General features: G+C 36.7%; 1 protein-coding gene across 36 annotated transcripts in view; it reads right to left on the bottom strand.

Moving 5' to 3' along the window:
* Window positions 1-14,799, bottom strand: part of PCCA (propionyl-CoA carboxylase subunit alpha) — a 441,343-nt gene that overhangs the window by 264,824 nt on the left and 161,720 nt on the right. For 32 of the 36 annotated variants that reach the window (NR_148030.2, NR_148027.2, NR_148028.2 and 29 more), the window contains 2 exons: window positions 7,939-8,017; window positions 2,781-2,883 (listed from right to left, as the gene is read on the bottom strand). Coding sequence is in view for 26 of the 36 variants with exons in the window: in XM_017020609.2 (XP_016876098.1) it covers window positions 2,781-2,883; window positions 7,939-8,017 (182 nt within the window). In the remaining 10 variants the exon portion in view is untranslated. The remainder of the gene's footprint in view (window positions 1-2,780; window positions 2,884-7,938; window positions 8,018-14,799) is intronic. The other 4 variants (NM_001352610.2, NM_001352611.2, NM_001352612.2 and 1 more) reach the window with 1 other exon arrangement.

The raw sequence follows: 14,799 nt of genomic DNA, 5'->3' as shown, positions 1-14,799 counted from the left end.
GTGTGGGAGTGGAGGTAGAGGTGGGAGTGGGTGGGTGTAGGCGTAGGTGTCCGTAGGGGGAACAGGTTGACAGGTGAAGTCTAAACTTTTCACGGAAATTCAAAGAACCTAAAGAGAATGAAAACTATCTGCAGAAAAACAATACATTTAGATCACTTACAGAATCAGGTTTCTAGATTTATTATAAAAGCAAAATAGTTAAGACAATGACGAAGTCTCACTTAATATGCAACAAAAGGTCACTGCAATAAATGATGCTGGAAAAAGTGGATATCAGAATTTTAAAAATTACTCTGACCCTGCCTCACATCAAACAAACAAAATAATAATAAGTAAAGGAGAGTAACAGACTTAAATATCATACCTAAAACAAAAAAACTCCTAACTAGGGTACACAAAGTAGACTTAAACTTGACTTCACTATAATTCAGAACTTCTGTTCTTTGAAAGACATTATTATCAAAGTGAACAGGCAAGCCGCATGAAGGGAGAAGGATACACTATACATACATCTGACAAAGGACTCATAAACAAAATTGATACAGAACTCGGACACTCCAGTAATTTTTAAAAATCTAATTTGAAAAAGGAAGGCAAGGATGAAAGTTTGAGAAGTCACTTCACAAAATAAGCCATTCAAATGGTCAATAAACTTATAAACAGATGCTTAACATCATTACTCATCCAGGAAATGCAAATTAAACAGACATACCATCGTAAGTCCACTAATATGGTTAAATGTTTTCAAAAATTGAAAATATCACACGTTGGCAGGGGTGGCATCAATGGAAACTCTCATGTATTTCTGGTGGGAGTATACATTAGCACAACCAGAGTACCCACTAAAACTAAAAATAACCTTACTATGTAATCCAACAATACCTCTCCTCAGTCTATCCTAGAGATGTATATATGTTCATAAAAAGACACAGCAATTTATTTCTAATATAAAGAAACTAAAAACCCAAAGATCCATCAACAACAATATGGATAAACTGCAGGTGAGTCAAATAATGGGAGATCACAGAGCAATTCTTAGAAGCAAAGGACAACAGAGCCTCAGGGAAGAATCTCAAAGATATGATGATGTGTGAAAAAGAAGACGTGACAGACTATATCACTGGATTTCATTTATGCAATTTAAGAACTAATCTCTGACATCAGATAGGAACAGCAGTTACTTTTGGCGGCCACAGGTAGGGACTGACTAGGAAGTGGTGTGATGGGACATTCTCTATCTAGACCTGGATGGTTGTTACACAATTAGATGTGTGTGTATAGAAATTGTCTTCAATTGCACACTTAAGATTTATGGATTTCACTGTATATATATATACATATATATGAGATACAGATATCACATATATATGATATACAGATATCACATATATATGAGATACAGATATCACATATATGATATACAGATATCACATATATACGATATACAGATACCATATATATACGATATACAGATACCATATATATACGATATACAGATACCGTATATATACGATATACAGATACCGTATATATACGATATACAGATACCGTATATATACGATATACAGATACCGTATATATACGATATACAGATACCGTATATATACGATATACAGATACCGTATATATGACATACAGATACCGTATATATGACATACAGATACCGTATATATGACATACAGATACCGTATCTATGACATACAGATACTGTATCTATGACATACAGATACCATATATATACGATATACAGATACCATATATATATATACGATATACAGATACCATATATATGATATACAGATACTGTATATATGATATACAGATACCGTATATATGATATACAGATATTATATGTGATATATCAATTTAGAAAATCTTTTTAAAAAGGCAAAAAACAAAGCCTGCTAGCCTCAGAAAGAAACTGTGTTCAATGTTGTAAAACATCCAACTGATTATATAAGTTTGGATATTTTTTCTCACTTTAGAAAATTTGAGGATTGAAATGATGATTTTCCACCCATAAATAATATCTATGAAAGTGACCATTAAACTTAAGGAATAAACTGACAGAATCTAGGACTTTTTGTATCATGCCCCTGTCAGAAAATATAAGGTCAGCAAATAACCTTTTATTTATCTGGTTCCCTCTCCACACCAAATTAAGATTTAAAAAAATACTTAAAATTCATTATTTCTAATTTGACATTTGTTTTTATCAATTTTAGCTATTACATATCAATTCATAGTCATAATGTATAAAATTAGCATGAAGGCATTTTCAACAGGCAAATGAAAACTTCAACAGACTTGTCTTCTTCCCCGTTTTATTTTAGAAAACCCATTTTGTTTTGCCAAAATCTATGCCCCTACGTAACCACTTTAAGGATGAATATCTTAAACTGAATAGAAGAAATGATTTACAGATCTCTATACAACAAGCTCCTAGCAGAACACCTGTCACAGCAAGCTACACGGACATTTGGTAAACTGAAGTAGCACAGGAGTCCAGGTCAGGCACTTTTCTTTTTTAAAAAATGCCCTATAATGGTCCAGTCTTGGAAGGAGATTAGCCTGGTCGGCTATCTTAGGAATGCATTTTTTGGAGGTAGATTTTTGTATCATTCCCAATCCCAACCAACATCCTAGCACTTTAACGGAAAGTACAACAGATTCTAAAGGCACAACTCACAATCATTCTAAATGGAAGAAAAGATAATTCCAATAGGATTAAATGATATTATTTTAAAATAATAATGAAAAAGCATCTTAAATGTACCAACCTGGATTTCTATATGACGAGGATTATCAATAAATTTTTCTATTAGTAGTCTATCATCGCCAAAACTAGAAGCAGCTTCTTGAGATGACAATCTAAAACCATCCCTGTGAAAAAAAGAAGGAAGAAGGAGGAGGGGGGGAGAGGGAGGGGAAGGGGAAGGGGAAGAAGGAGAAGAAGAGTCAGACTAACAAAACAAATAGAGCTATCATTATAAAAGAAAACACAATCGATTAAATATTTATTTTGGCTTATTCTGAAAAAAGCAAAAACCTTTACTCAATATACAAATAACTAAGTTAATTTTGGTTGACCTGTGACTTTTCCACTCACTAACTCTGTGACCATGGATGAGTTATTTAACTTCTCAGATCCTAGATTTTCCATTGAAACAGGAATGCCGATACTTTACCAACTGCTAAGTATCACTTTTTTTTTTTTTGAGACAGAGTCTCACTCTGTCGCCCAGGCTGGAGTGCAGTGGCAGGATCTCAGCTCACTGCAACCTCTGCCTGCCGGGTTTCAAGTGAATCTTCCACCTCAGCCTCCCGAGTAGCTGGGAATACAGGTGTGTGCCACCACGCCCGGCTAATTTTTATATTTTTGGTAGAGACAGGGTTTCAACACGTTGGCCAGGATGGTCTTGAACTCCTGACCTAAGGTGATCCACCTGCCTCAGCCTCCCAAAGTGCTGGGATTACAGGTGTGAGCCACAGTGCCCAGCCTAAATATGATATTTTAATAAACCATACAGAGCAAGTAAAATTAATTCCATTTCTTCAACCATAATATACCTTAATTCCACTAGCAAAAATATAAAAAAACATCTGTTTGATTCAGAAGTCAGAAGATGCAAAGAAAAATGTAAAGGGTCTAGTCACCTGCATGACTGGAGTGGAACTACAGCAAATACACTCATTGAGATTGAACATCCAACAGGAAGATTCTTAAGAACACTGCTTAATATTTTAAATCCACATCTTGAAATGCAGTTGCCTCCCACATACACCCACACAGATCATTACAATTTTATCTTCTATAAAATTGATCAAAAATAGTAATTATAAAAGTATAGTTTTTTAAAATAAAAATATGGACCTAATTATTGCTTTATATATTTTGTTTACAAACTAATTTAAATCATTACTATTAAAATATGCCTATTATTCAAATATTTAGGGCTCATTTGACCAATCTTTTCAAAACGCAAACTTGGGTGGGCACAGTGGCTTCCCTGAGGTCAGAAGTTCGAGACCAGCCTGGCCAACATGATGAAATCCCATCAGTACTAAAAATACAAAAATTAGCTGGTTGTGGTGGCCCATGCCTGTAGTCCCAGCTACTCAGGAGACTGAAGCAGGAGAACCGCTTGAACCTGGGAAGCAGAGGCTACGGTGGGCAGAAATTATGTCACTGCACTACAGCCTGGGTGACAGTGAGACTCCATCTCAAAAAAAAAAGAAAAGAAAAAACAATTAAAAAAAAAACCCAAACTTGCTTGCCTAAAAGTAATTGAGCATATATTGCCTTCTATCCATTGATATAATCAGCATATAAAATTTAATTCCTTTACATTTAATAAAGTTTCTTAATCTGAAGATTAAATACCTGTATTTAATGTACAACATTAAAGCCAATTCTTCCGATCCTTTAAGAGGCAAATGGTCCATCTACTAATATTAGAAATAACTATCCAATTTGCTTATTTTTGTGCTTTAATTCCTTTTATATTTAATAAAGTTTCTTAATCTGAAGACTAAATGTCTGTATTTAATGTACAATACTGAAACCAAATTCTTCCAGTCCTTTAAGTTGCAAATGGTCCATCTAGTAATATAAAAAACAACTATCTGATTTGCTTGTTTTGTGTTTTCTTTAATGATGTCAGCCCTATTGCTCTATTTGTTTTGTTAGTCTGACCGTTCTTCCTTTTTTTTTTTTTTAAAGGATGGTTTTTCATCTCAAAAGCTGCTTCTAGTTTTGGCGATGACAGACTACTAATAGAAAAATTTAATGATAATCCTTGTCATATAGTAATCCAGGTTGGTACACTTAAGATGCGTTTTAATTATTACAACTTTAAAATAATATCATTTAATCCTACAGTCCACCTAGTAATATTGGAAACAACTAATTTGTGGCCAAGTGCAGTGGCTCACACCTGTAATCCAAGCACTTTGGGAGGCTGAGGCGGGTGGATTGCCTGAGCTCAGGAGTTAGAGACCAGCCTGGGCAACACGGTGAAACCCTGTCTCTACTAAAATACAAAAAATTAGCCAGGCGTGGCAGTGTGCGCCTGTAGTCCCAGCTACTTGGGAGGCTGAGGCAGGAGAATCGCTTGAACCCAAAAGGCAGAGGTTGCAGTGAGCCGAGATCGCACCACTGCACTCCAGCCTGGACAACAGAGCGAGACTCCATCTCAAAAAAAAAAAAAAAAACACACACACACACACACAACTAATTTGCTTGTTTTTGTACAACACTGCAGGTAAAACTGACTAGAAGACAAATTTCAAAACATTGCAAAAAACTCATTTCTCAGAGGTCTCAGAGAAAAGGTATTAGGTTTTCTCAGTCCTCCATCACATTGTTGATTTAGGGGAATAAAGTCCTCCATTACATTGTTGATTTAGGGGAATCTTAGGAGGCTGCAAACTTCAAAGAAACTGGAAGCAAAATGAATTAGTTTTCGATACCATATAATCAACTTTTTATTAGATTGGATATAATAACAGAAAGAAAAAATATAGCACTTTACAGTTTGCCTCCACTATAATGATTGAGATCTTTCATTTTGCATTTAAACCCAGAACACCACAAGTAAAAAGTCAAAGTCACCAAAATAAAATAAGCAGCAAGTTTGAAAGCATCGCCAACAACCTATTTTAGAACTCATGGGAAACTCTATTATGAATATCACTGGTGACATTCAATTATACATTCATTCAATAAGTATTTACTGAACTTTGTGCCTGGATATATTTTAGATGCTAGGAATACAAAAATAAAACAGAAATTGCACTCACAATGCCAAAAGTCTTAGTGGGGATATTCAAAAATATAGACACAATCAGTTTCCCAATCATGCCATACGCTTCATTTAAACTTGAATAGGGAAAAGAAAGCCAGAGATTACTATGAAAATATCTAAGTGAACCTTCAACAATCTTCATAATTCTCACCCAAATTTACTATATAATAAAGGTTGGGCGCAGTGGTGCACGCCTGTAATCCCAGCACTTTGGGAGGCCGAGGCAGGCAGATCATGATGTCAAGAGATCGAGACCATCCTGGCCAACATGGTGAAACCCCGTCTCTACTAAAAATACAAAAATTAGCTGGGTGTGGTGGCGTGCAGCTGTAGTCCCAGCTACTCGGGAGGCTGAGGCAGGAGAATCACTTGAACCCAGGAGGCGGATATTGCAGTGAGCCAAGATCGTGCTACTTCACTCCAGCCTGGGCGACAGAGAGAGACTCTGTCTCAAAAAAAAAAAAAAAAAAAAAAACCATTACATTTTTAAAAAAAATCTTTCAGATGTCCTACAGATTCCAAGACAAGTCATAGATGCTACTTCCCCCCAAAAAACATAGGAAAGATGTTACAAGAAAAAGACACCCCTTAGGATAAAGGAATAAAGTAATTAAGCTACCAAATTTTCCTTTGTACCTGAAAAATGAAATCTTTGTGGATTATGTAAAAACCAATTACTTCCTCGAGAGGGAGAGAGGAAAAGAAGGGGTGGATAAGTTGTGGTATGGTGTTCACGGTTAGTGGCTCCAAAAGACAAGCATAGGCATGTTTGCAGTACTGTTCTTTCCCTTTTTAGGTAGTTTTGACTTTCCCAAATAAATAAGGGACATAGAGCAACTTCTTAAAATGAGGAGCTTGTATTATTAAATCTAATAGGCACGCCTGTGTTGATCTCAACAAGTTTTCTGAGATGGTTTATTTATCAAGCTGAAGAGAGTAATATTTTAAGTAGAAAATTATTCATGTATTTTTATTAATTTTATAAACATATTTTGAATCAATGTGCTATTTACTTGGCAAGAAAGGGCTAAATTATTTACAAAATGATGCCTAATATATGAATGGATATAGTGATTTCTCAAAATATTAAGCTGTAAATTAAAATTTATAAATCAACAGCAGCACAGCAAACCTCACTTCCAAGAAACTATAAAGAGTAATCCGCACCATAAAAGAGTAAGTTACTAACAGTAGCCCTGGAGAAATGACTGATAAGAAACCTGAGATCCTAAGATGAATAATGAAAAATAAGCGCTAAGCGTTCAGTGAAATTGCTATGTAAGTACTGTGCAAAACAGAAAAACAATGAGAAAAAAATTGAAGTCCACAAAATACACATCTCTTGCAAAACCATTAAGTTGTATTCGACTTCTTTATGATACCATTCTTTCCCACAAAACGGGCTGTGGCAGATTGTCTTTTCCAAAGATGGCCACAACAGTATCTCCCATTCCACGTGCTCTTCTAAGAATCTTGCCCACGCTCTCATGAAGAAGTGAAGACTCAGTCCCCTCCCCTTGAATTTGAGCAGAAGCTGTGTTCACTGGAGGGAAACCTGTGTAACTTCTGAGATTGGGCCATAAAAAGTATTCTAAATTATAATAAGAGCGCATTCCATATAAAGGACACAGTAATTTCAAACTCAAGGAAAAAGAATATATTTCACACTCTAAAATTATCAAAGTAATTCACTACTTTTATGCACTAGCAAAGGAAAGCAACTACATATTGAGGTAATACATTAAGTCTCAATGAAATTATAACTGCTTTTAAATATAGTTGATTTAAATCTTTAGATGACATTTAGAATTATATAGCCAAATGTTAGTAATTTATGCCCAGAAAATAGAATCCTGACTGTAATTTTTAAAAATATACGGTAAAAACAAAAAGAAAATCCTTTGTTAATGTTTAAAACAGTAAAACCCTTTCTATAATAAGATAATCATCATCAAAATATAAATAAGGAAGGTTTCCACATAATTTCAATCTTTTTCCCATTCAAAAGTGTAAAAATTAGATGGTTACTGTAATTACTCCATTATGCTTTTGGTATCTGTTTACCTGTCAGTTTAATAAAACTCTGGTAACTGCAATTTTCATCAAAAGTATATTTTGGACAGCCTCTCACCTGGTCTCTTCATCATCCCAAGCAATGCGCATGCCTTTCCCACCACCACCTGCTGAGGCCTTGATCATGACAGGGTAGCCTAACAGCAGGGAAGAATTAGACAGAAGTTCAGACTTTGATCATTGGGATGTATGAACATGACAATTGACCACATGTTCAATAACGCAGAAAACAATAATTAATTTATTTAAAAGTTCCTTTCTTTAGAGTCAGGAAAATAACACCAGGAAAGTAACACCAGTGTAATGATGTATTTAAAAAATGAGAGTGTGACCATTTTAAAAGAAAAAAGGGTACTTGTACCAATAAACATAACACTTTCCCCAGTAATAAAAGCTAAGAAAACACACATAAATTAACAGTGGATTCCAAAAACAGAAGTACAGTATTAAGTAATCAAAGATATAAGAAACAACTTATAATAGCACCAGGAAACATCTCCAAAACTGAGGTTTGCATGCATAACAAATTCCCTTTTTTCAAAAATGGTGATTTTCAGGTACTTAAGGTATTTTCATCTGAAGAGTCACAGACAACCCCTACAGCTTTTATTAGCAAGAAGTGACATGATGGTATTGGGGAAAATCCAAACCTGGCTACGATGCTATGGGCTGGAGCAGAAGCTCCAGGGCTCACTGGTATCAATGGAGAAGCTATTCCACTGTTCCGTACATTAACAGGGTGTTATGAAAATACAAAGTAAGGTCAAAACAAAGCACACTTCCAGCTAAAGTTTTAAACTCATAAAATTGTCATCAGTTACATGATTAAGTATTTAGTTATTATACAGTAAAACTTCTGACAGCAAGAGTCATTTACAACGATTTATCAAGAAAAGTGTACAAGTCTCCTTCTTTAGATGTTTTCTAAAAACAAGGTAGAGATACTCCTATGTTTGGGACCATTTGTTTATGATCTTTTCTGAAGAAAAAAGAGCTCAGTGAGCCCTTACAGGATCCTTCCTGGCCTGTAATGCTCTACTGGCACTCAACTCAAGCTATAGGATCCTTAGAGGAAAAGGGAAGAGAAGGCCAAATGTCATAGACCTTTTGAACCCCAAACCACAAAACATCACTCTTTAACTTCAACTTAGTTAAAATGGCACCTGCTTCCTAAGCGTTTTATAATTAATTCAATTAAAATTTTTTTCTGTTCATGATGTTTATATGGGCTGGTATTTTTGAAACAATGCTCAGTGCACTGAGAAGACAGATAAAGAACATGCTCTTACACTGGGAGCCTTCAAATCCAAGAAGAGAAAAGCAAAGGACCCAAATAGTTCTATCACTGGCAATTCAAAACAGAAAGGATCACAGGGAGGTAGAGAGAAAAATAATTAAGAAAAGTGTATTATCAGAAGGGCCATTTAGGCTGGGCACAGTGGCTCATGTCTGTAATCCCAGCACTTTGGGAGGCTGAGGTGGGCGAATTACGAGGTCAGGAGATTAAGACCATCCTGGCCAACATGGTGAAACTCCGTCTCTACTAAAAATACAAAACTTAGCTGGGTGTGGTGGTGTGCGTCTGTAGTCCCAGCTACTCAGAGGCTGAGGCAAGAGAATCGCTTGAACCTGGGAGGCGGAGATTGCAGTGAGCCAAGATTACGCCACTGCACTCCAGCGCAAGACTCCGTTTCCAAAGAAGAAAAAAAAGAAAGGGCTATTTAAATGATGCTATGAAGAATGAGCAGGACTTGAACATTTCAGGCAGGAATAGTGGGGAAAACAGAGGTGGAGATTATAGGACAAGTTTAAGGAATGACTGAAACAATTCAGTTGAAGTACAGAGTTATCTGCAGGATGGTAGGGGAAAACACAATAGAAAACATAGATGGGGACAAAGCATAGAAGATTGTGCATGCTTTGATTCTTGATTCTGCAAGAGATTATGCACGAGTTTTAATCCTGCATGAGAATGGCAAGAATGGTATTTGTCTCATTCACAATAACAAGCATAAAATAATCAGAATGAAATCAGTAGAGAAGAATTAGCCTGTTTTACGGGAGTGAAAAAGCGCAATCTAAAAATTTGAAACTGGTATACCTGCAAAACCCTGTTTACAACAACTTAATAGATCCTTACCCCCATCCTCTCAAAAAAATATTTTATCAATGCATCATCACAAACCATTTATCCATGTAACAGGAAGCCACAAGAGCTGAGAGACAGCCCACATCTCCACTACATTCAGTTCCCTCTGACGATTAGGAAATTTGCAGTTTTTCTGGTTCCAGTACTAATCGCATTTTAGTCATTTACTAAGGACCCTGGACTATACAGTGATTTGTGAATTTCAAAATATGACATGGAAATCATTCTTGCTCACAAGGAACAAGCTGGGGAAACAAGATACATAAAACAATTTATCAACAAAAAATTATCAGATGCTCAGAAAAGGTGGGAAGTCATTAGAGAATAGGACAATATATAATAAGGCATTGTGGTCTCCCAGTGCTGCTGGCATCACAGCATTAGACCTGTGAATACATGTAACCCAGGAAGGCAAGATTCCCTGACCAAAATCTCACAAGCCAAACAGAAAAATGTTGGGAGGAAGGAAGAAACTGATGCAAGTTAGACTAGCTTTTTTGTTTTTGGTCTCGCTCTGTCACCCAGGCTAGAGTGCAGAGTGTGATCTTGGCTCACTGCAGCCTTGACCTCTTAGACTCAAGCAACCCTCCCACCTCAGCCTCCTCAGTAACTGGGACAACAGGTGCACCCCAACACACCCAGCTAATTTTCTTTTTTTTTTTTTTAAAGATGGGGGTCTCATTATATTGCCCACATTGGTCTGGAACTCCTGGCCTTAAGCAATCCTCCCGCTTTGGCCTCCCAAAGTGCTGGGATTACAGGCATAAGCCACTGAACCTGGCTGATACTAACTCTTAATTTAACCATTGAGCTATATTCTGAAATAATGTAACAGTAAGGTTTTCTACTCAACTTCTTATGCCAAATCGATTTCAGGCAGTACATATGCTGTCACCACACCATGGAGAAACAATACTTAGAAATCTGAAGAGGAGGGAAAAGAATAATCCACACAGATAATGTTAAATAATATCCAACAGTTCAGTCCCTCATCCCTACTTTCTTGTGTCCCTGCCACTCTAATTAAGATAAGTAAATGGGAAGTGGAAGGAAAAAAATATTTAGTCAAAAGTTGGCATTCCTGGAAAAATCAGAAATGATCAAGTTGATGGTACTTGTTACCCCTCACCTCATCTGGACATGAAATTTCCACTAATGTTCTCTCACATTTTCTCATCCACTGGAGCACTTACTTCTGTGCTTGACTCTTGTCTATACTGTATTTGTTTAATTTTGTATTCTTCAGCTGACATATGTTTGAAACAGAATGATAAGCGTTGGCTCTGTGTCCCCACCCAAATCTCATCTTGAAATGTAATAATCCCCATGTGCTGTGGGAGGGACCTGGCGGGAGGTGACTGAATCATGAGGGCGGTTTTCCCCACACTGTCCTCGTGATAGTGAGTGAGTTCTCATGAGATCTGATGGTTTCGTAAGTGTCTGGTATTTCCCCTGCTGGCACTCATTCTCTTCTTGCCTGGTGCCATGTTAAGACATGACTTTGCTCTTAATTCACCGTCCACCATGATCGTGAGGCCTCCCCAGCCATGTGTAACTGTGAGCCCATTAAACCTCTTTTTCTTTATACACTACCCAGTCTCAGGTATGTATTTATTAGCAGTGTGAGAATGGACTAATACACAGAGCATAACAAAATACAAATTCTACTCGTAAAAGGAGGTGAAAGTCCTAGTAGAAGAGACTGCTTTAAAAAAAAAAAAAAAAAAATCAGGCTCTAGTGCCCTTCCCAAGTTTTTCCTCACCTTCCAGGTCCTCTCATGGGATGCTTACTGCTACTACCTTACCTCACCCCAGACACAGAAGTGACTCCCCTACTGACACTGAACCTCCAACACAGAGACAGTCTCCACTCCTTATTCTCTTCTGCACAATAAAAGAGGCACTAATGCTTCCGAAAAGAAATCTACTAATACTATATGACAAAATATACGAAGAAAATACAGAAACTTAGGTTAGCAAAGTACTACAAAGTTTCCATTGCTACTTTTCTGGACTCAGTTTTCAAGGGCAGGTTTAAGTGCAGGACAGGACATCTTCTCTGGGTCCCTCACCTCCCAGCTACCAGTGCGTCTTACTTTCTACCACAAAGCAAGCAGCCTTCTTTCTAACTCTACTATCAAATTTGTATTCATCAGTTTAAAAAATGTTTACTGAATATACACTATAAGCCTTATCTGGCTCTCTGCAGGCTACAAAGGCCAACGATTCAGAAAACTCCCTGCTATCTAGCAGACAATGATATACAAACATACATGCATCTAAATATATGTCTGAGTCGGGTGGAGTGGCTCACACCTCTAATCCCGGCTACTTGGGAGGCTGAGCTGGGGGGACAGCTTGGGCCCAGGAGGTCAAGGCTGCAGTATTTCTTTATGTATATACACATATTAATATAAATAAATAAGTGCATGTATGTCTTATACACAATGTAAGATAGTGATGACTGCTATAACACGGAGGGAATAAATGTAACTGAGAGTGACAGGGTTACTGCTCCTTGAAAATGCTTCTCTGAGAAAACTAGTATTTAAACTGAGAACCTAATGACAAGATAGAGCGAGCACTCTGAAAATCAGTGAGGGGGGATGAGTCCAGACAGAAGGAACAAGTTGGAAGGTGTGATACAGGAAAGGGAAGTACCTAATACAGCATTTTAAAAGATCACTTTGGCTGCTGTGCAATGAATGAATGGTGAAAGGGCAAAGGTAGAAACAAGGAGCTGATGAGGAAGCCTTTGCAGCAGTCCAGCTAGCAACAGAGATAGAGAGAAAGACAAAGACTAGAGTTAGCGACAGTTTGGATGTGGAAGATAAGGGGATGAATGAAGGAAGATTCTAGGAGCTTAGGAGATTTTCCATTTAGTTATGGATTCCAAGTTAAAAAGAATTATCTTTTTTGACCAACTGATAATGTCACATTTACCTACTCAAGACACAATAAATAACCTTACTTTTCAAGCAAAACCCAAGCCACACATGGTAGCACAACCTGGTAACTTAAAAGCTGATAAAATGACACCCTATTGATGCAACAGTGGTACGCTGTATAATAAAGAATCTTATGTGGTTTTCTCACCTACAATTTCTTGAATTAAAATTTCATAGAATATACTAATGGGAAAGGAAAAATAAAAAGAAGGGAAAAGAAAAGTATTTCTTAGAAAATGTCTTATTCCTAATCCAGCGGTACTAATCAGAAATCTCTCATGAATCAAGGAGATGTGATGGGGAATGGGGATCTTCTTTAAATAACCAATTGCAAAACACCTATAATTAACTACAAGGCCTTTGTTTCCTCAAGGAAAGGTCCAAGGTAAAAAGAAAACAAAAGATATTTCAGGAAGTTGAACAGTCCTCTAGATGGATAGAATAGGCCCTGATATGGGTAATAGGACCTCAGAAGAGAAAAGACACCCCACTCCGAGAAAGAACTAGGACAGAAAGGAAGGAAATCCCCAGATGAAAGTTGCTCATGAGAATTACATAGATAGTACGCATTGCTTTGTTTCGTTTCTTTGTGCTCCTCTAATGTAAAGTAGTTCACTTGCCTTTTGAACCCCCTCAGCCTCCCCAGAAGGGAAAGTGTGGGTTTGTGTTTGTTGTTTTGTGCTGATGGCGGGGGGAGTTCTTCATGACCATGATATTTCTGAAGAACCCAGGGTGGTTGTTTGATAGAATATTCCACAATTTGAATATACCTGATTATTCACTCATTAAATTCAAGATGTTTAACAAATCTTAAATACAACATAGTTGATATTGTATCCTCGAGTTCTTCCATCGCATCAAAAGTAAAATAAAAAGTCAATTTATCCCAAACTGATAAAGCTTGATTACTTAAGATGGCATCCATTAAATTTCCTCACAGAAAGTATGCCATTTTTTCTTAGCAAATAATCTGTAGATTGATACTTTGAAACTGTGATGATCCTATATCCAAACAATTTTCACCCATTATTAAAAATGAACTTTAATGATTCTTGCTTTAGTCAATATCTACATTGTTCACTGCACAATGATTAAAAAAACATAAAGACAAAGATCTTTGCCTGTCTTCTTTGTTGTTTCTGCAGTGGCTGAAACTGCCTAAAGAATAACATGCAAAGTAAGAGTTACTAAGTAAATCTATTAGTTAATCTGAGCAGCTGTAAGTCATTATTTTTACTGCTGTAATCTATGTCACCTACAAACATACTGCAGCATTATCCATTCCACTGTGAATGAACATTCAGACTGTAACCTGTTCTATTTATATAACAATGGTCCTTTGAATATTTTTGTACTTGTTGTCTGGAACTTTGTATATGAGCTTCCTGGATCTATGTGTAAGAGCACAACTGCTGGATAGTATGAAACTCTTATAAATTCTTTATTTAAAAAGATCAAATCTATTCACTTTTCTTTATCTCAGTTATCATAATACTTAATCATAATACTTACACAAACTACCAGCAGTCCAGGACTCTTGTACTGGCCTACTAGCAGAACTCCCCACTACTACAGTTGCCCCCATCCAAGCCACATAGTGGTCAGTGAAATTTTCTTAAGGTATATATACTATTATATCTCTCTCCTGCCTACATCTTTCATGGGTTTACATTATACTACGAAAAAACCATAGACGTATAATGAAATAGAAATTATGAACCAAAGGACAGGAAGTGTGACGGGTAGAGAGACAGCATAATACAAGCTTGTTTAATCAGAACACGAGAAAGGACTATGCTAGACTTGCCCTAAGAAAACTTTT

The sequence above is a fragment of the Homo sapiens genome, chromosome 13 (genome assembly GCF_000001405.40).
Source record: "Homo sapiens chromosome 13, GRCh38.p14 Primary Assembly".
NCBI classification, from domain to species: Eukaryota; Metazoa; Chordata; class Mammalia; order Primates; family Hominidae; genus Homo; species Homo sapiens.
This window is presented reverse-complemented; position numbering and strand designations above follow the sequence as displayed.